Source organism: Homo sapiens, chromosome 17, assembly GCF_000001405.40.
Source record: "Homo sapiens chromosome 17, GRCh38.p14 Primary Assembly".
Lineage (NCBI taxonomy): Eukaryota > Metazoa > Chordata > Mammalia > Primates > Hominidae > Homo > Homo sapiens.
The window spans coordinates 77,102,436-77,121,785 of NC_000017.11; the positions used below are offsets into that span (position 1 = coordinate 77,102,436).

General features: G+C 48.0%; 1 protein-coding gene across 2 annotated transcripts in view, besides 3 other annotated features; it reads left to right on the plus strand.

Moving 5' to 3' along the window:
- Positions 1-19,350, plus strand: part of SEC14L1 (SEC14 like lipid binding 1) — a 128,417-nt gene that overhangs the window by 13,751 nt on the left and 95,316 nt on the right. The window lies entirely within an intron of this gene.
- Positions 4,217-4,266: an enhancer, noted in NCBI's record as "active region_12822". NCBI's record gives its function as "activates an Ori minimal core promoter by ATAC-STARR-seq in GM12878 lymphoblastoid cells {active_cell/tissue: GM12878}" and the evidence as "EXISTENCE:reporter gene assay evidence [ECO:0000049][PMID:35858748]".
- Positions 4,329-4,993: an enhancer, noted in NCBI's record as "NANOG hESC enhancer chr17:75102846-75103510 (GRCh37/hg19 assembly coordinates)". NCBI's record gives its function as "activates a minimal SCP1, AML or CMV promoter by ChIP-STARR-seq in naive H9 embryonic stem cells {active_cell/tissue: H9 hESC(naive)}" and the evidence as "EXISTENCE:reporter gene assay evidence [ECO:0000049][PMID:30033119]".
- Positions 5,107-5,436: an enhancer, noted in NCBI's record as "active region_12823". NCBI's record gives its function as "activates an Ori minimal core promoter by ATAC-STARR-seq in GM12878 lymphoblastoid cells {active_cell/tissue: GM12878}" and the evidence as "EXISTENCE:reporter gene assay evidence [ECO:0000049][PMID:35858748]".

Consider the following 19,350-nt stretch of genomic DNA (forward strand, 5'->3'; position numbering starts at 1 on the left):
AGAGAAAGAAATTCTGAAAGGATATGGAAGTGAAGGGTATCTTCCCTTGTTTTCTTTCTCTTCTTTTTTCTTTTTTTCTTTTTTTTGAGAGGGAGTCTCACTCTATTGCCCAGCCTGGAGTGCAGTGGCGTGATCTCGGCTCACTGCAACCTCCCCCTCCCAGGTTCAAGTGATTCTCCTACCTCAGCCTCATGAGTAGCTGGGATTACAGGCACATGCCACCACACCGAGCTAATTTTTGTATTTTTAGTAGACACAGGGTTTCACCATGTTGGCCAGGCTGGTCTCAAGCTCCTGACTTCAGGTGATCCTCCCACCTTGGCTTCCCAAAGTGCTGGGATTACAAGCATAAGCCACCATGTCTGGCCTTTTTTGTTTATTTTAAAGACAGAGTCTTACTTTGTGGCTCAGGCTGGAGTACAGTGGTGTGATCATGGCTTGCTGTGACCTCGAACTCCTGGGCTCGAGGGATCCCCCCTACTCAGCCTCCCAAGTAGCTGGGACTATACAGGTGCATGCCACCATGCCTGGCTAATTGTTTTACTATTTTTTAGTAGAAGCGAGGTCTCACTATATTGCCCAGACTGGACTCGAACTCCTGGCTTCAAGTGATCCTCCACCTCGGCCTCCTAAAGTACTGAAATACAGGCATGAGCACTGCTTGGCCTGAAATGATTTTTCTTTCTTTTTTTTTTGAGAGGGAGTCTTCCTCTGTAGTCCGGTCTGGAGTGCAGTGGCACGATCTCAGCTCACTGTAACCTCTGCCTCCCAGGTTCAAGCAATTCTCCCACCTCAGCCTCCTGAGTAGCTGGGATTACAGGCACATGTGACCATGCCTGGCTAATTTTTGTATTTTTAGTAGAAATGGGGTTTCACCATGTTGGCCAAGCTGGTCTAGAACTCCTGACCTCAGGTGATCCACCTGCCTCGGCCTCCCAAAGTCCCGGGATTACAGGCATGAGCTACCATGCCCAGCCAGATTTTTCTTTTTTGTTGTTGTTTTTTTTTTGTTGTTGTTTTGTTTTGTTTTTGAGACAGAACCTCACCCCAGGCTGGAGGGCAGTGGTGTCATCTCAGCTCACTGCAACCTCTGCCTCCTGGGCTCAAGCGATTCTCCTGCCTCAGCCTCCCAAGTAGCTGGGATTACAGGCATGCGCCCCCATGCCCAGCTGATTTTGTGTATTTTAGTAGAGACGATATTTTGCCATGTTGGCCAGGCCAGTCTTGAACTCCTGATCTCAAGTGATCCTCTTGTCTCGGCCTCCCAAAGTGCTTCTCCATGGCAGTAGTTACTGTCCCCAGCCCTTGCAGTCATCCTTTCCAATAGTCTCTCCTCCTACGCCTGGATTTGTTTTTCATTTGACACTGAGCTGCCAGAAGGCCCGGCTCCATGGGGTTATGAGGATACAATGCACAGCGGGAAGACCGTGGATCCAGGCGGCACCGGGCGGGGTCCCAGTGCCACCTGCTTATGACCTGCTCCAGAGCCTGTGCACTCGCTGACCCTGCCACCTGGCACGCCCTGCCCCTGTCCTTCCCACTCCCTCTTGTGAGTCAGCTCACAGCTCAATACCACCAGGGAGGCCCTCCCTCTCTTCCCACCGTAAAGTAGGAACCCCATCTTCACTTTGTCCCAAGATCATCAAAGCAGAGACCGTATCCAAAGGACTCTTTTTTGTATTTACTTTTTTTTTTTTTTTTTTGAGACAGAGTCTCCTCTGTCACCCAGGCTAGAGTGCAGTGGTGCGATCTCGGCTCACTGCAACCTCCGCCTTCTGGGTTCAAGCAATTCTCCTGCCTCAGTCAGCCTCCTGAGTAGCTGGGATTACAGGTGCCTGCCACCACGCCCAGCTAATTTTTGTATTTTTAGTAGAGACGGGATTTCACCATTTGGCCAGAATGGTCTCAATCTCCTGACCTCATGATCCACCCGCCTCAGCCTCCCAAAGTGCTGGGATTACAGGCGTGAGCCACTGCGCCCGGCCTTGTGTTTACTTTTTTTTTTTTTTGTCTCCCTTTGTGAACCCAGAAAATCTGAGACAGTTCTCTGTTAATTTAGAAAGTTTATGTTTTTGGCCTGGTGTGGTGGCTCACGCCTATAATCCTAGCACTTTGGGAGGCCGAGGAGGGTGGATCACGAGGTCAGGAGATCAAGACCATCCTGGCCAAGATGGTGAAACCCCCATCTCTACTAAAAATACAAAAATTAGCTGGGCCTGGTGGCAGGCACCTGGAATCCCAGCTACTCAGGAGGCTAAGGCAGGAGAATCGCTTGAACCCAGGGGGTGGAGGTTGCAGTGAGCCGAGATTGCGCCACTGCACTCTAGCCTGGGCAACAGAGTGAGACTCCATTTCAAAAAAAAAAAAAAAAAGAAAGTTTTTTTTTGTGTGTGTGTGTGTCAAGGTTGAGGACACGTACCTGTGACACAGCCTCAAGAGGTCCTGAGGACACATACCCAAGGTGGTCAGGGCACAGCTTGGTTTTATACATCTTAGGGAGACAGGAGACATCAATCAATATATGTTAAGAAGTACATTGGTTCGGTCTCTGGAAAGCCAGGATAACTTGAAGCAAAGGAAGGAAGACTCAGGAAGGGAGCTTCCAGGTCACAGATTGGTGAGACGCGGTTTCATTCTTTTGAGTTTCTGATGAGCCTTTCCAAAGAAGGCGATCGGATATGCATCCGTCTCAGTGAGCAGGGGGGCGACTTTGAATAGAAGGGGAGGCAGGTTGGCCCTAAGCAGTTTCCAGCTGGATTTTTCCTTAGTGATTTTGGGGGCCCAAGATATTTTCCTTTCACGCCTTCAACTGGAAAGTCCACTCCAGGGCCATGGTGACTGTCTTGTTTACCCCTATACCCAGACAGGGCTCAAGTGTGTGGTCAGTGTTCGTGAACAAGAAAGTGACTCTAGCCTGTGACATGCTCCTCGCTGACCACCCCCCCCCCCACCCCACGTAAAAAGAGTTCAAGGAGGTCCCATTTGCAAAGTACTGGGTACCTAGTAAGTCTGTAATATTATAAATTGTGCTTACCACCCTCTTTCCATGATATAGTCCCATTCCCCCATGTTTTAGAGAACATTCAGATTAACCTCCGAAAGATTAAATGATGGTAAGGATATAGTGCAGAGATGTGAACTCCTGTGTCAGGGAGGAAAAACTTTACCCTCATGTTCATGGTTGGAGGCCTGCAAATTAAACTGACCAAAGAAAGATTCACAGGAGAAAAGACTTTTAAACATTCATGTACACCAGAGTTCACAGAAAAATGTGACTCAAGGTTAAGTGGTTAGGATCTGGGGCTTGTATACCATCTTCATGAAGCAGGGGACTCTTAGGAAGGATGAATGGGCCCAGAGGAGCACAGGTGGGATTTATGTTAGTCTTGTGACAACAGCTGTTTAGGTGATTGCTTATCCTGGTGAGGGACTGGTGAGAGGAGACAATCTTCCCTAGTGCAAAACTCCCTAAAAAGCCCCAGGGAGGGGATTTGTGACAGTTGAATTATTTTGAGAGATTCTGTTTTTAAGCAGATAAGTAGAGTTCAGAGGAAAAAAAAAAAAAGGAAAAGTCAGTCTGGATATCAGTTCGTCTACCTAATTTTGCCACGAATCAAGGAAATCACCCTGTACTTTCCTTCTCCGTGGCCAGGGGACATTGAAATTATTTGGTTCTGGCAGGGCATGGTGGCTCTCGCCTGTAATCCCAGCACTTGGGGAAGCCGAGGTTGGCGGATGGCTTGAGCCCAGGAGTTGGAGACCAGCCTGAGCAGCATAGTGAGACTGTCTTCTACAAATAATTTCAAAATTATAGGAGGCCAGGTGTGGTGGCTCACACCTGTAATCCCAGCACTTTGGGAGGCTAAGGTGGGCGGATCACAAGGTCAGGAGTTTGAGACCAGCCTGGCCAATATGGTGAAACCCCGTCTCTACTAAAAATACAAAAATTAGCTGGACGTGGTGGCACGCACCTGAAGTCCCAGCTACTCGGGAGACTGAGGCAGGAGAATCGCTTGAACCCGGGAGGCGGAGGTTGCAGTGAGCCGAGATCGTGTCACTGCACTCCAGCCTGGGCAACAGAGTGAGACTTTATCTCAAAAAGATAAAACAACAAAAAAATTATGGGAGGCTGAGGCGGGTGGATCACCTGAGGTCAGGAGTTCGAGACCAGCCTGGCTAACATAGTGAAAGCCCATCTCTACCTGGGCAACACAGCGAGACTCCATCTCAAAAAATAAATAAATAAATAAATTAGCTGGGTGTGGTGGCCCGCACCTGTGGTCCCAGCTACTCAGGAGGCTGAAGTGAGAAAAATCACTTAAGCCCAGGAAGTTGAGGCTGCAGTGAGCCCTGGTGGCGCCACTGCACTCCAACCTAGGCAACAGAGTGAGACCCTTTCTCAAAAAAAATAAAAAAGAAAAATTATTTGGTTCTCAGGAGAGAAATAGGCTGCGTTCTCCTTCTCCAGCCCCGGGCTTTTCTTTGCTGTTCACCTTGCTGACTCCCCATGAATGCTTGTATCCGGCCACCAGGGTGGCATTTTGCAGAAAAGCAGTAATTTGCATATCACCTAAAAGAGTTCACACATCCCCCATGGGGTGTAATATACCATCAAGGATCACTTAAGTACTGGAGAGAAGCAGCTGATCAATGAAGAGCTTTAATGACTTGAGAGTCTGGGGCAGGGGAGAATCTAATTTATTCAGCCAACCACCGTGGACCCACAGGGGAAAGAACAAAGAGCCACAAACAAAAACTCACTTCCACTTCAGGACCACTTAGCCCACGCCAGGCTCCGGGCTCCGGGGTCCAGGCTCCAGGCACCAGGCTCTGGGTATTTAATCCTCAGAACAGTTTCTGAGACTGGCATCCTTATCTCCACTTTAAAGACAGGGATGGAGGCTCAGGGACGATCACTTGCCAAGGTCACACAGCTATTGAGCGCTGGGTAGGAACGAAAAGAAAGAGTCTCCTTCGTGTAGTTTCAAACTAATGAAAAATGGAAAAAAATTCAAAAGTATTTTCAGTAAACAAAAAATCTATTATATATTTCTATTCTATGTTATGCTAGTTAATGAAGACATAGATGAAAAGGAGAGAGGGGGAGAGAGATTGAGAAAGTCCAAGAAAACAGGAAAGAGAAATGAGATACAGGAGTCCGTAGACCAGGTCAGAAGATCCCCACCCACAACGGTGGATGGCAGAATAAACCGCAACCTCCTCACACACCGAGGGGCTTGGGGGATTCCCGGTGACGTAAAGGTGCCCTCCTTGACTTTCTTGCAACAACAGCAAAGGCTTCTCCACAGTGGCGTTCTAAAGGTTTCCCACGCGCTGACGGCTGAGTTGGTTTTCAAGCTTTACTTGGAGCTTGCTGACACTATCACAGATGCCTGAAAGTCCCTTTGAGAAAGGAGCCATGCTGGCTGGTTTTAGCCCACAGTCTCTGAACACAATTTGGTATTGACTTTTTATTTATTTATTTAAAAACAGAGACGGGGTCTCACTATGTTGCCCAGGCTGGTCTCAAACTCCTGGGCTCCAGCGATCCTCTCACCTCCGCCTCCCAAAGTGTTAAAATTACAGGTGTGAGCCACTGCTCCCAGCCAGTATAAATGTTTGTGTCAGTTTTCAGCCCCCTGTTCCATGCCCCCCCATACCATGCGCACGCACACACACACGGACTTAGATTCTCCCCATTTGAGCAGCTTTCCTCCAGCTGTTTGGGCGAGTGTGCAGTGCTGCCATATAAATGTGCTCAATAAAGCCCATGGTGATGACTCATCTCGGCACTATCTGAGCTCCACTTTCCCCATCCAGAGTCCCGAGTTTCTGCATTAAACGTGGTCGTCATAACCCAGTTCTGTCCGGCAGGAAGCCCTTGCTACAGACCTGGGTCCAGTGTGTCTCCTCTGGACAGTTGGGAGGTGGCAGCCCTATGGTTCGTGTGGGTTCTTCCCACAGGTAACTGAAACAGAGGGCCAGAGGGATGGGACCCCAGCATAGAATATGAATGTATAGGCCAGGTGTGGTGGCTCACGCCTGTAATCCCAGCACTTTGGGAGCAGAGGCGGGCAGATGGCTTGAGGTCAGGAGTTTGAGACCAGCTTGGGCAACATGGCGAAACCCTGTCTCTACTAAAAATACAAAAATATTAGCCAGTCATGGTGGTGCATGCCTGTAGTCTGGGCTACTCAGGAGGCTGAGGCAGGAGGATCGCTTGAACCTGGGAGGCGGAAGTTGCAGTGAGCCAAGATCATGCCACTGCATTCCAGTGTGGCCGACAGAGCCAGGCTCTGTCTCAAAAAAAAAGAAACAGCTGACATGTATATATACATTCATCTCTGTCTCCAAAAAAAAAAAAAAAAAAGAATGTATATGTCATCTGTTTCTTTTTTTTTTTTTGAGACAGAGTTTGGTTCTGTCACCCAGGCTGAACTGCAGTGGCTTGATCTCAGCTCACTGCAACCTCTGCCTCCCGGTTTCAAGCGAGTCTTCTGGCTCAGCCTCCCAAGTAGCTGGGATTACAGGTGCCAGCCACCACACCAGCTAATTTTTGTATTTTTAGTAGAGATGGGGTTTCACCATGTTGGTCAGGCTGGACTCAAACTTCTGACCTCAGGTGATCATCCTGCCTTGGCCTCCCAAAGTGCTGGGATTACAGGCGTGAGCCACCGCACCCAGCCTGGGGTTTGGCTTTATAGACTAAGGGCTGAAGAAAGCAGAAACAGAACAAAAAGCATATTGGTCATTTCAAAGTTAAATTCTTTGTAAGGCAGGAAGAGATACAGGACAATACAAAGACAACAAGAAAAAGATAACCAGTCACAGTTACATCTCTTTTTTCTTATAGAGATGATATCTTGCTATGTTGCCCAGGCTGGTCTCAAACTCCCAGCCTCACGTGATCCTCCTGCCTGGGCCTCCCAAAGTGCTGGGATCATAGGCGTGGGTCACAGAGCCCACCAAGTTACTGTTTGTTGTAAGGGTTAAAACAGAGGGAACTTCATTAGCATGCTGACTTGAGACTGAAACTGGCCTCCTTGGGAAATTAGGCTGCTATTTCTCTCGCCTGATTTCTTGGGAAGTCAGATAACAACTCAGTGTTGGTTTGCTGAGCACGGGTGACTCCATTTTGATTTTTGTCTGGTCTTTTGGGGCCTAGTGCAGGAGTTTAGTCCAAAACAAGGGCCTCCTATGATTTTTGTTTAACACTCTGAAAGAGAACGAACTGAAACTAACTGTTCAAAGGTATATTTTCTCTTTGCTTTCTGTAGCTTTTATTGTTTAATGCTCAGCCTTGGAAGGATATGCCGTTCCATATGTTCTAAAAGGAACAAAACAGTCTACCAGTACTTAGCATCTACTCATTTCCAGCCACTAGAGTCCCCAGCCTCACCACAGTTTAGCAGACTGTTAGCTGTTACATTAACTAAATGCGTAAAATGCTGATATCCTAATATGCCTCTTTTTTTGAAAATAGCATCATAATTCATCATAATTTGTAGGCTCGCAAACATTTTCTTGGAATCCACTGGACTCCCCCATGCTTTTTAATTCCGTACTTTCTGTGCAAGCAACACAATAGTTGGAACTGACTTCAGGCCAACTGCTTCCTTTTAACTTTTGTCATGTTACCCAGAATAGAGGCATGGAGTTGTTTACCCGGTTTTCATTGAGGAACATTCTTTGTCTTCCAAGGAATACATAAGAAGCCTTCCTGTCTCAGAACACCAAGCTCTGAAAGGTGACTTTTCTGCTCGAGTAATTACACTGGTTGACTGAGCTCCGGAAAGGAAACGCATTCTTGGTTGCAGAGAGAGGAAGTGGCTTGCATTGTTGGACAAAAAGAAAAATGATTGTTTCCTAGGGTCACTGTCCTCAGCCTCCCTTTAGAGAGCCTGGATCTTGCAGCCATCAGTTATGGAAGTGGCTCTGGGAATAACTTTGCCCTGGGTGATGATTGTTGATGAAAAGAGTCGAAGTGTATAAAATATTTGAAGAGATTTATTCTGAGCCAAATATGAGTGACCATGGCCAGAGACACAGCCCTCAGGAGGTCCTGAGAACATTTGCCCATGGTGGTCAGGACGCAGCTTGGTTTAAACATTTTAGAGAGGTATGAGACATCAATCAAATACATTTAAGAAATACATTGGGGCTGGCTGGGCGCGGTGGCTCATGCCTATAATCCCAGCACTTTGGGAGGCTGAGGTGGGTGGATCATGAGGTCAGGAGATTGAGACCATCCTGGCTAACAGGGTGAAACCCCATCTCTACTAAAAAAAAATACAAAAAATTAACTGGGCGTGTTGGCAGGCACCTGTAGTCCCAGCTACTCGGGAGGCTGAGGCAGGAGAATGGTGTGAACCCGGGAGTTTGCAGTGAGCCAAGATTGTGCCACTGCACTCCAGCTTGGGCGACAGAGTGAGACTCTGTCTCAAAAAAAAAAAAAAAAAAAAAAGAAATACATTGGGGCTGGGCACAGTGGCTCACTCCTGTAATCCCAGCACTTTGGGAGGCCGAGGCAGGAGGATCACTTGAGGTCAAGAATTTGAGACCAGCCTTGCCAACATGGTGAAACCTCATCTCTGCAAAAATACAAAAATTAGCCGGGTATGGTGGCAGGCACCCGTAATCCCAGCTACTCGGGAAGCTGAGGCAGAAGGATCGCTTGAACCCAGGAGGCAGAGGTTGGAGTGAGCCGAGGTTGTGCCATTGCACTGGGTGACAGAGCGAGACTCTGTCTCAAAAAGAAAAAAAAAAAAAAAAAATACATGTGTGTGGTCCAGAAAGGCGGGACAACTCAAAGCCGGGGGTGGGATTCCGGGCTATACGTGAATTTAAAGATTTTTTGGTTGACAATTTTTTGGCTGAGTTTGTCTAAAGACGTGGGATTGATAGAAAGGGAATGTTGAGGTTAAGATAAAAGATTGTGGAGACCAAAGTTCTTTTGAAGTGTTTTTTTTTTTTTTGAGACAGAGTCTCGCTTTGTCGCCCAGGTTGGAGTGCAGTGGGGCAAAAGCCACAGACACTCAAGGCCAGCCAGTGCAAGCAGCCGGCAGCCGGGAGGGGGGCTGAACCCCAAAAAGCCACAGGGATGGAGCTGCCCAAGGCCATGGGAGCCCACCTCTTGCATCAGTGTGACCTGGATGTGAGACATGGAGTCAAAGGGGATCATTTGGAACTTTAAGGTTTAATGACTGCCCTATTAGATTTTGGACTTGCATGGGGCCTGTAGCCCCTTTGTTTTACCCAATTTCTTCCGTGTAGAGTGGGTATATTTACCCAATGCCTGAACCCCCATTGTATGTAGGAAGTAATTAAGTTGCTTTCAATTTTACAGGCTCATAGGAGGAAGGGACTTGCCTTGTCTCAGATGAGACTTTGGACTTGGACTTTTGGGTTAATGCTGGAATAAGCTAAGACTTTGGGAGACAGTTAGAAAGGCATGATTGTGTTTTGAAATGTGAGGACATGAGATTTGGGAGGGGCCAGGGGCAGAATGATACAGTTTGTCCGTGTCCCCCACCCAAATCTCATCTTGAATTATAGTTTCCATAATTCCCAAGTGTCCTGGGAGGAACCCGGTGGGAGGTAACTGAATCATGGGAGCAGTTACTGCCAGGCTGTTCTCGTGTTAGTGAGTGAGTTCTCAGGAGATCTGATGGTTTTATAAGGGCCCTTTCCCCGCTTTGCTCAGCACTTCTCCTTCCTACTGCCCTGTGAAGAAAGTGCCTTTCTTCCCCTTTGCCTTCCACCATGATTGTAAGTTTCCTGAGACTTTCCTAGCCATGCAGGACTGTGAGTCCATTAAACCTCTTTACTTATAAATTAGCCAGTCTCGGGTCTCTCTTCATAGCAGTGTGAGAACAGACTAATGCAGGGGGGCTATTATGTTGCCAATCACAGGTATATAATAAAAAGTTAAGAATTATAATTTCTAAGTGGTAGGATTTCCCTTAATCCTTTTCTCTTATCTATATTTTCAGAAGTTTTCCCAGGAATACACATACTGCTTTTGAAATGAGAAGAATGAAATCTCATTTATAGTCTATATTGACGTCTTTGCAATGTTCATTAATCCACCTCTCAGGACAGCCCTGAGAAGTGCATACTGTTCCTGAACAGTTAACAGTTACAAAGATGAATTGAAAAGTATTTAGGCGGCCAGGCGTGGTGGCTCACACCTGTAATCCCAGCACTTTGGGAGGCCGAGGTGGGTGGATCACGAGGTCAGGAGATCGAGACCATCCTGGCTAACACGGTGAAACCCCATCTCTACTAAAAATACAAAAAAATATGGTGGGCACCTGTAGTCCCAGCTACTTGGGAGGCTGAGGCAGGAGAATGGTGTGAACCTGGGAGGTGGAGCTTGCAGTGAGCCAAGATCGCGCCACTGCATTCCAGCCTGGGCGACAGAGCGAGACTCAAAAAAAAAAAAGAGTACTTAGGCATAATGGGTCATGCCTGTACTTCTAGCACTTTGGGAGGCCGAGGTGGAAGGATCACTTAAGACCAGGAGTTCGAGACCAGCCTAGGCAGCAAAGCAAGACTCTTTCTCTACAAAAAAATTAATCAGGCATAGTGACATGTGCCTGTAGTCCTAGCTACTTCGGAGGCTGAGGTAGGAGGATCACTTGAGCCCAAGAGGTTGAGGCTGCACTGAGCCAAGATCGTACCACTTCACTCCAGCCCAGACATTAGAGCAAGACCTTGTCTCGAAAAACAAAAAAAAGAAAGAAAAGAAAAATAATGCTTTTTACTAGGATTTTTACAATATGTGAAACGAATTCTATCTTGAGAACAGAGTATTGGTATTGCCAGTAATATTTTAAAGTTCTTTTGCTTCCAAAAAGGAAGGTCACCTTCCCTGTCTATAAGAAGTCAGTGCCACCTTGGCCCACAGAACCTCAGATTCTCACCTCTGCCTTCCCAGCCAGCCTTCCCTTCTTGGGCACTTTTCTGGGACACAGGCTGAATGCACCCAAAAATGCATCAGCAGGCTTGATAAAGAACGAGTTAAGGCTGGGCTCAGTGGCTCACACCTGTAATCTCAGCACTTTGGGAGGCCGAGGCAGGTGGATCACCTGAGTTCAGCAGTTCTAGACCAGCCTGGCCAACATGGTGAAACCCTGTCTCTACTAAAAATATAAAAAAATTAGCCAGGTGTGGTAGCACATGCCTGTAGACCCAGCTATTCAAAAGGCTGAGGCACGAGAATTGCTTGAACCCAGGAAGCAGAGGTTGCTATGAGCCGAAATTGCGCCACTGCACTCCAGCCTGGGTGACAGAGTGAGACTCTGTCTCAAAAAGAAAAGAAAAGAAAAAGTTGAAACACCAACCAAGGTAAGTTCATCTCCCTTCTAAGCCACCCATGAGACACTGCTGGGGTGAAGAAGTCACTGTCTGTGGCAAAAACCATTTAGATGAGAAGTGGACACCCTTAAAGCTTCCGCTTCCCTCTGCAGTACAGCAAAGAGTTAAGCATGATAGGTTAGTTTCTATTATTCCCACCTTGTGCAGAGATTCAATGTCCCCTACCCTACTCACAGGCCTAAAATGCTCCCCAGGCACAGCCTTCTGGTCCCAGGAGAGAGATCCCGGCTGCTAAATGCGGGTGCAAATAAAATCAGCAAAGGGCGCCCTGGATGTGAAGGAGGTGTGGGTGTCAGCCTGCAATCCCCACCTGCAGCAAGATCATTTTTATAAAACCCTTTGTTTGGCCACCTGGATATCTGTGACAAATGATCCCAGGAGCCACTGCCTTCCCTCCACCCCACCACATGATTCAAAAGGCAGGCACTGGCTGGGCAAGGTGGCTCACGCCTGTAATCCCAGCACTTTGGGAGGCCAAGGTGGGCAGATCATGAGGTCAGGAGTTCGAGACCAGCCTGACCAACATGGTGAAAATCCTGTCTCTACCAAAAATACAAAAATTAGCTGGGCATGGTGGCGATCACCTGAAATCCCAGCCACTCAGGAGGCTGAGGCAGGAGAATCGCTTGAACCTGGGAGGCGGAGGTTGCAGTGAGCCGAGATCGCGCCACTGCACTCCAGCCTAGGTGACAGAGCTAGACTCCATCCCAAAACAAACAAACAAAAAAGGCAGGCACTGGCCAGGCACAGTAGCTCACTCCTGTAATCCCAGCACTTTGGGAGGCCAAGGCGGGCAGATCACCTAAGGTCGGGAGTTCGAGACCAGCCTGGCCAACATGGTGAAACCCCGTCTCTACTAAAAATACAAAAATTAGCTGGGCATGGTGGCGCATGCCTGTAGTCCCAGCTACTTGGGAGGCTGAGGCAGGAGAATTGCTTGAACCCAGGAGGTGGAGGTTGCAGTGAGCCGAGATTGCGCCATTGCACTCCAGCCTGGGCGACAAGAGCAAAACTTCATCTCCAAAAAAAAAAAAAAAAAAAAAAGGAGGCAGGCACACACTTGAAACAAGCCATTAAGTCCCAGTAGCATTTTCTGGAGGCTCCCAGCTATAGCAGGAACACAGGTCTCTTCTCAGTTCCTGAGAAGAGAACTGTTTTCTTGTTTTGCCTTTAGTCATTTACTTGAACCACTCCAGAAAACTGCCCGTCCTGCTGCTGCCTGCCTCTGACCATGTACCAGTCACAAATAAACTGGGAAATGCAAACGTGGGTGTTTTATATAACTTGCAGCCCCTGCATCTGCAGCTGTGTATTTTGTTTAAAGCTGCAAGCCCGGCCGGGCACGGTGGCTCATGCCTGTAATCCCAGCACTTTGGGAGGCCGAGGTGGGTGGATCATGAGGTCAGGAGTTCAAGACCAGCCTAACCAACATGGTGAAACCCCATCTCTACTAAAAATACAAAAATTAGCTGGGCGTGGTGGTGTGCGCCTGTAATCTCAGCTACTTGGGAGGCTGAGGTGGAAGCATTGCTTGAACCCGGGAGGCAGAGGTTGTAGTGAGCTGAGATCGTGCCATTGCACTCCAGCCTGGGCAATAAGAGCGAAACTCCATCTCAAAAAAATAAATAAATAAAAAAGCTGCAAGCCCTTCTGCTTTTCCTTTGGTGGCAAAGTTTGGTCAAGGGTGTTTTCAACAATAATTCCACTTGTTTCAGGCCCCTTTTGGGGCTCAGACCCTTGCTCCTGACTGTGGCTGTGAAGGGGTGGAGGTCTAGGGCCTTCATTCTGGGTGGCTGCTGTTCTTCCCTGATGCTGCCCCCTCCAAGAGAAGGGATATTTTAGGCGCTGATTACATTGTGAGTTGTTGCAACCAAAGGAGCATGTTCTCTTGCTTTCAAAACACAGGAAACAAATCACTGTTTTCTAAGTGAAAAGGAACAAAATCAGCACTGAGAGAGGTCGTGGGAGCTGTTTTCCAAGTATCTCAGAATACTTGGCAGGATGAAGCAAGAAGACCTATATTTAAAATCTTCTTTATCAAGGCCTGTTTGAAGTCAGTTTATTGTTTGGTAAAGAAAAGAAGACAAAAGTTTTGACTCTCCTTTTTTTTTTTTTTTAAATTTTGAGACAGAGTCTCACTCTCACCCAGGCTGGAGTGCATTGGCACCATTACTGCTCATCGCAGCCTCCAACTCCTGGGCTCAGGCGATCCTCCTGCCTCAGCCTCCTAAATAGTTGGGACTACAGGTGCACACCACCAGGTTCAGCGAATTTTTATTTTTATTTGTAGAGATGGGGTCTCACTATGTTGCCCAGGTTGGTCTCAAACTCCTGAGCTCAAGCATTCCTCCTGCCTCAGTCCCCCAAAGTGTTGGGATTATAGGGATGAGCCACCACACCCGGCTGACATACATATTTTTAAATGCTGTAAAAATTCACATTGATTTAAACGTTTTAGGGGTCTTTGCTGTTGCAAGAAATTTGTGTGCCTGAGGAATCCCTAAATAAGGCAGCCTGTTGTGAGAACTATAATAATGATGTGAGTAAAACCCGGAGCCAGAACCCAGAAGAAGGAGAAATTAATTCTGACCCTTAAATCTCGGTGTCACACAGAGGAAATGAACCGGGAAGGATGGTGTGGGATTGTGGAGGGCAGAGGTTGGGAGAAAAGACCTTCCAGTTGGAAGAGGCTCAAAGTAAAGTTCTGGAGTGGGAACTTGGGAGGAGGCACCTGCTCCTGTCTGAACAGAGAGCCATGTGACGGACCTGGTTTTCAGCCCCTGGCTCTTGGGGCAGAGTAAAACTGAAAGGCTCATATTTTTCATCATTGTTTGCATATTGTGTTTTACAAGTCTGAGAAGTAGTACAGACATAAATTTGCTACAAAGCCAATTTGGAATTTGAAGGGACATTTTTATCAGTAACAGGATGTTTGAACAAACTTGGAATTTCATGGACTTTTCCACAACCCTCTTTCATGTCTGTAAGGAGCTTACCTGGCAGGATGCTCTGGGGTAAGTGGGACTGTAGAAGTCCCCTGTCTCATCCACCACTGCAGCTGTGAGAGGGGGCTGGGGCCATGGGTGGGAGGATTTTTGGACCATGATTCCAGGCGGACACCCCATCTTTACAAAATTAAATGGTAAGCATCCTCTTCATTTGCTGTAATTGGCTGTCTCTGGTGTTAGTTGAGTTCCATTTACCCAACAGTTTTCCGTCTTTATCTATTCCCTGCAGTAAATGCAATGGAAGGCCGGGCGCAGTGGCTCATGCCTGTAATCCCAGCATTTTGGGAGGCCGAGGCGGGTGGATCACGTGAGGTCAGGAGTTCGAGACCAGCCTGGCCAACATGGTAAAACCCTGTCTCTACTAAAAATACAAAATTAGCCGGGCATGGTGACACATGCCTATAGTCCCAGCTACTTGGGAGGCTGAGGAGGGAGAATTGCTTGAACCCGAGAGGTGGAGGTTGCAGTGAGCCAAGATCGAGCCACTGCACTCCAGCCTGGGTGTCAGAGCGAGACTCTGTCTCAGAAAAGCAGAACAAAACAAAACAAAAAAAATGCAGCTGAAGTAAGCTCTACACAGAGGCACCGTTGGGGTGCACGTAGAAACCCAATCGACATCTTTCCAAGAGATTGGTATTTTAAAAAGAAATAATAAGCTATTCTCACAGGCCAAATGAATGTTTGACAGCCTAATCAATTGCCCTGAAGCTTTTAGACAGGGCTGATGAATTAGCATAACTTCACAGATCAACTCTTAGATGAGAATTTTCCCCATGGAGTTGGCCTGTCACCAATGAATTGCTCAAGAAAACCCAGCCCTACTGACCCTGGCCAGCTCCTGCAGGAAGAAATATTTGGTAGGCTTGAGGGATAAGAAAGTCTTTCATTCCAATGAAGTTGGGCAAAGGGGCTTCGTTTGGGGACCTTTTGGTCTTTGAGACTCCCTGAATATTATCTCCTGTGCCTCCTTCTTCGTTCCCACCACTTTAAGGGAGACTATGCAGAATGACAGAATGATTTGGCCTTTTGCAGTGGGCCTCCATGGGACCCAGCATGATAAGAAGGCCCTAAAAACAAGACTGCCCTGGTGGATCCCTCACCTCCCCCTACACAAGGCTGGCACTGAAGTTCTCTCGAACCTAGGACTGGGAGCCCAAGGCTTGGACGCCAAACAGCAAAGCTTCATCTAATCTCAGTCAGCTTCAGGGTCAACTGGACAGCGGGAATCATTTGATTTTTTCCATCTGGGCATACTGACTAGGCCATCAGGCCCACCTGGCTCATGCTGTTCATGCCAGTGTCCCAGTAGCTGGGAGCATGTGCTCAGAGCCATTAAGGGTGAGTGCGGCAGGCCGCACTGTGGAAGGGGCTGGAACAGCTTTTCCCTATCGTTTATCCTGAAGCCTTCTTACCTAGGCGGTCTTTCAAGGGTGCCCATGGCCACCTGGGCGTTGTCTCCGTCCTCCTTGAGGATTACAAATCAGTGATCTCTGAGTTTATCTCCCAGTCAGGTCCCTTCGGAGAGTGAAGGAGGCCTTGTTAATTACCACCTTCGTTCAGTAGGCACATATGGAGACTGTCCTGGGCCAAATGGAATGTATGTCACCCTAATTATAAAGGATGGAAAAGGGAACAAAGGTGACTCATTAATGAGACCTTGTAGTCTCCACCGAGTGGAGGACTGTCCCCGAGCCTCATACGTTCCAAGGGCAATGGACATGCTTCTGTTATGTAATATTCCAGATGCTGCCACGTCCAATGTACGGAGCACTCCAGTTGCTGGTCTGGGAATGCGCTTAACGTAAGGAAAGCCTCGGCCCCAACCAGAGAAGATCATGCTTTTTCTAAGTCAAGGTTATAATTATGCATTTCGACAGCCTCCTTCCTGTAATTGTTCAGATGTTCGTAGCAGGCGTGCATGCAGGCGGTGCACCTAGAAGCTGCTGTCAATCACCATCGCCTCTTTACAGCATTCCTCTCTGATTATGCAGGGAGCACAGGCTTTGACTGGCAAAGTGATCCCAAGAGGCTTAGCATGGGAAAGAAATAGCTAGTACTTTCCAGAAACCATCCCACCACCTTCAGCGGGATGAAGGAAGCCCTGGCTTTGCTGACTTCCCAAGAAGCATCCCAAAAGCTTGCTTAACATCTCAGAAAACAAACCTCTGCATGCATTGATGAAGGAAGAAAAATACAGCCTGTACAGGCCGGGTACAGTGGCTCATGTCTGTAATCCCAGCACTTTGGGAGGCCGAGACGGGTGGATTGCCTGAGCTCAGGAGTTTGAGACCAGCTTGGGTAACATAGTGAAACCCTGTCTCTACTAAAAATACAAAAATTAGCCGAGTGTGGGCATGCGCCTCTAATCTCAGCTACTTGGGAGGCTGAGACACGAGAACTGCTTGAATCTGGGGGGCAGAGGTTGCAGTGAGCCGAGATTGCGCCACTGCACTCCAGCCTGGGTGACAGAGTGAGACTCCATCCCAAAAAAAAAAAAAAAAAATACAGCCTGGACAATCACTGGGTCACCTGTCCTTAGGGATTACGGGCGAATTCCAGACTCTGTCCTACCCAGGAAGGAATACCTTTCAGGGGTTGGAAGGATGTTTCAAATCACACCTGGTCCTCATTGGCGTTAAATTAAACAAAGTTAGATGGAGGAGCACCATCAAGGAGCCGGTATCCCTGTGAAAGAGCAGACGTGGCTGTTGTCAAGGAGGTAATAAGCTCTCTGGCAGGATGAGAAGCAGTATTTATTTTATCCACCTACAGGATCAAAGAGTATGTATTTGATGAAATAATTTATGCTGAGTGAATGTGAAATATCATCTCTAATTGCAGGCAATTAATATTTTCACTGATAAGGAGAGGGCCCCAGGCTGGCTTGCCTCAAACGGCCCTTACACTCCAGCAGTTCATACTTCTATTATGTACATAATCCCTGGATTACATAAACCCACCTGCACTTAAACCTACCAGCTCCACCCACCCTTGCCAAAGCTGTCACTATGAGAAGAATTAGAACCTTCGCAAATACATTCTGAACCAATGCCACAGAAAAGGCAGCAGCTTGGAATGTCAGGAACAACTTCGGGAATCTGACCTTTGGGACATTCCCCAGGCTGCCCTGACCCTCAGTCTGGATTTGCCCTAAGAATACTTTCCCGTATTGCACTGAAAACATTTTCAGCTCATTTGTTATACTGCCTGAGAGCCCATCGACTGGAGATTAGACTGACAAACATCGTCTTAAAAATGTGAATCATGGCCAGGTGTGGTGGTGCACGCCTGTAAATCCCAGCACTTTGGGAGGCTGAGGTGAGCAGATCCCTTGAGCTCGGGAGTTCAAGACCAGCCTGAGCAACATAGTGAGACATCCTATCTTTAGAAATAAAAAATAAATTTAAAAAAAGTGAATCATGAAGTGCCCATTAGACATGTACATCTAGGCATGAAGCGTTCTAACCGCCTTGTTTTGCCACTCACGTAGGAGCTCAGCTAGGGATTTCCTGGAGCATGTCACAACCACAGTGCCATCACAGAGGGACGAGGACAGAGGTCTAGAACGTCGCTGTGTGTCTGCGTGTTCTACTCCCCAACTAGGGAATGCATCCACAACCTGAGGCTGCCCCGGAGTTTCTGATCCTTCTCTCCACATTCTTTTTTTTTTTTTTAATGAAGTCTTGCTCTGTCGCCCAGGCTGGAGTGCGGTGGCACGATCTCGGCTCACTGTAACCTCTGCCTCCCAGGTTCAAGCGATTCTCCTGCTTCAGCCTCCCAAGTAGCTGGGATTACAGGTGCGTGCCACCACGCCCAGCTAATTTTTGTATTTTGAGTAGAGGTGGGGTTTCACCCTGTTGTCCAGGCTGGTCTCAAGCTCCTGACCTCAGGTGATCCACCGGTCTCGGCCTCCCAAAGTGTTAGGATTACAGGCGTGAGCCACTGCGACCGGCCCCTTCTCTCCATATTCTGATTGTAAGCATCACCTTTCCAACACAGAAATGTCAGCCCTGCTGGGGCTCCGATGTGTGACTGAGATTCAGCTAATTGCATGTCCCCACAGGAGACTTGGACTCGGAACTCACTTAGGTGAGAGAGAGGCAGGGAACAGAGCATCGTTTTGTTATCGTGGGTTGTGGCAGAGGGAGCTTGGCTCTGGAGGCAGGAACCAAGGCAGCAACATCCTGACTTGGCAGCTGCCTAATCCGGGTGAGGTGGCAGCTCCATCGGTGAGATGGTTCTTCAGTGTGATCCTGAGAGTTGGTTGTCCCTGGAAGCCTGCCTAGTGCCTGTATTGCTGGCCCTCCTGCCAGTTACATGAGCTCTCTCTATCTCTTCCTAAAGCCCTTCTGGCTTGAATTGGCTAGGCTGGATCCTGTTGTCTGCAGCTAAGAACATCCTGGCTACTGCCGACAAAGCAAAGACAACAGCGGGCAGGGAAAAGAGATGTGGAGAAGTGGTAGGAGAGGCAGAAAGAGATTCGGGAAGTTGGCAAATATTTTGAATAATGGCCACTATTTATTGAGGCCATATCATGTGCACTATCTTTTTTTTGAGACAGAGTCTTCCTCTGTCACCCAGGCTGGAGTGCAGTGGCACTATCTCGGCTCACTGTAACCTCTGCCTCCCAGGTTCAAGCGATTCTCCTGCCTCAGCCTCCCAAGTAGCTGGGATTACAGGCACGTGCCACCATGCCCGGCTAATTTTTGTATTTTCAGTAGAGACAGGGTTTCACCATGTTGGCCAGGATGATCTCAATCTCCTGACCTCGTGATCCACCCACCTCGGCCTCCCAAAGTGCTGGGATTACAGGCGTGAGCCACCGCACCCGGCCCATGTGCACTATCTTTAACCCTCACCACTCTGTTAGGCATTATTCCCATTTTACAGATGAGGAAACGGGCTCAGAATGGTTAAGGAGCCTGCCCAATGCCACACAGCCTTTAACGGTGAATCAGGAGCT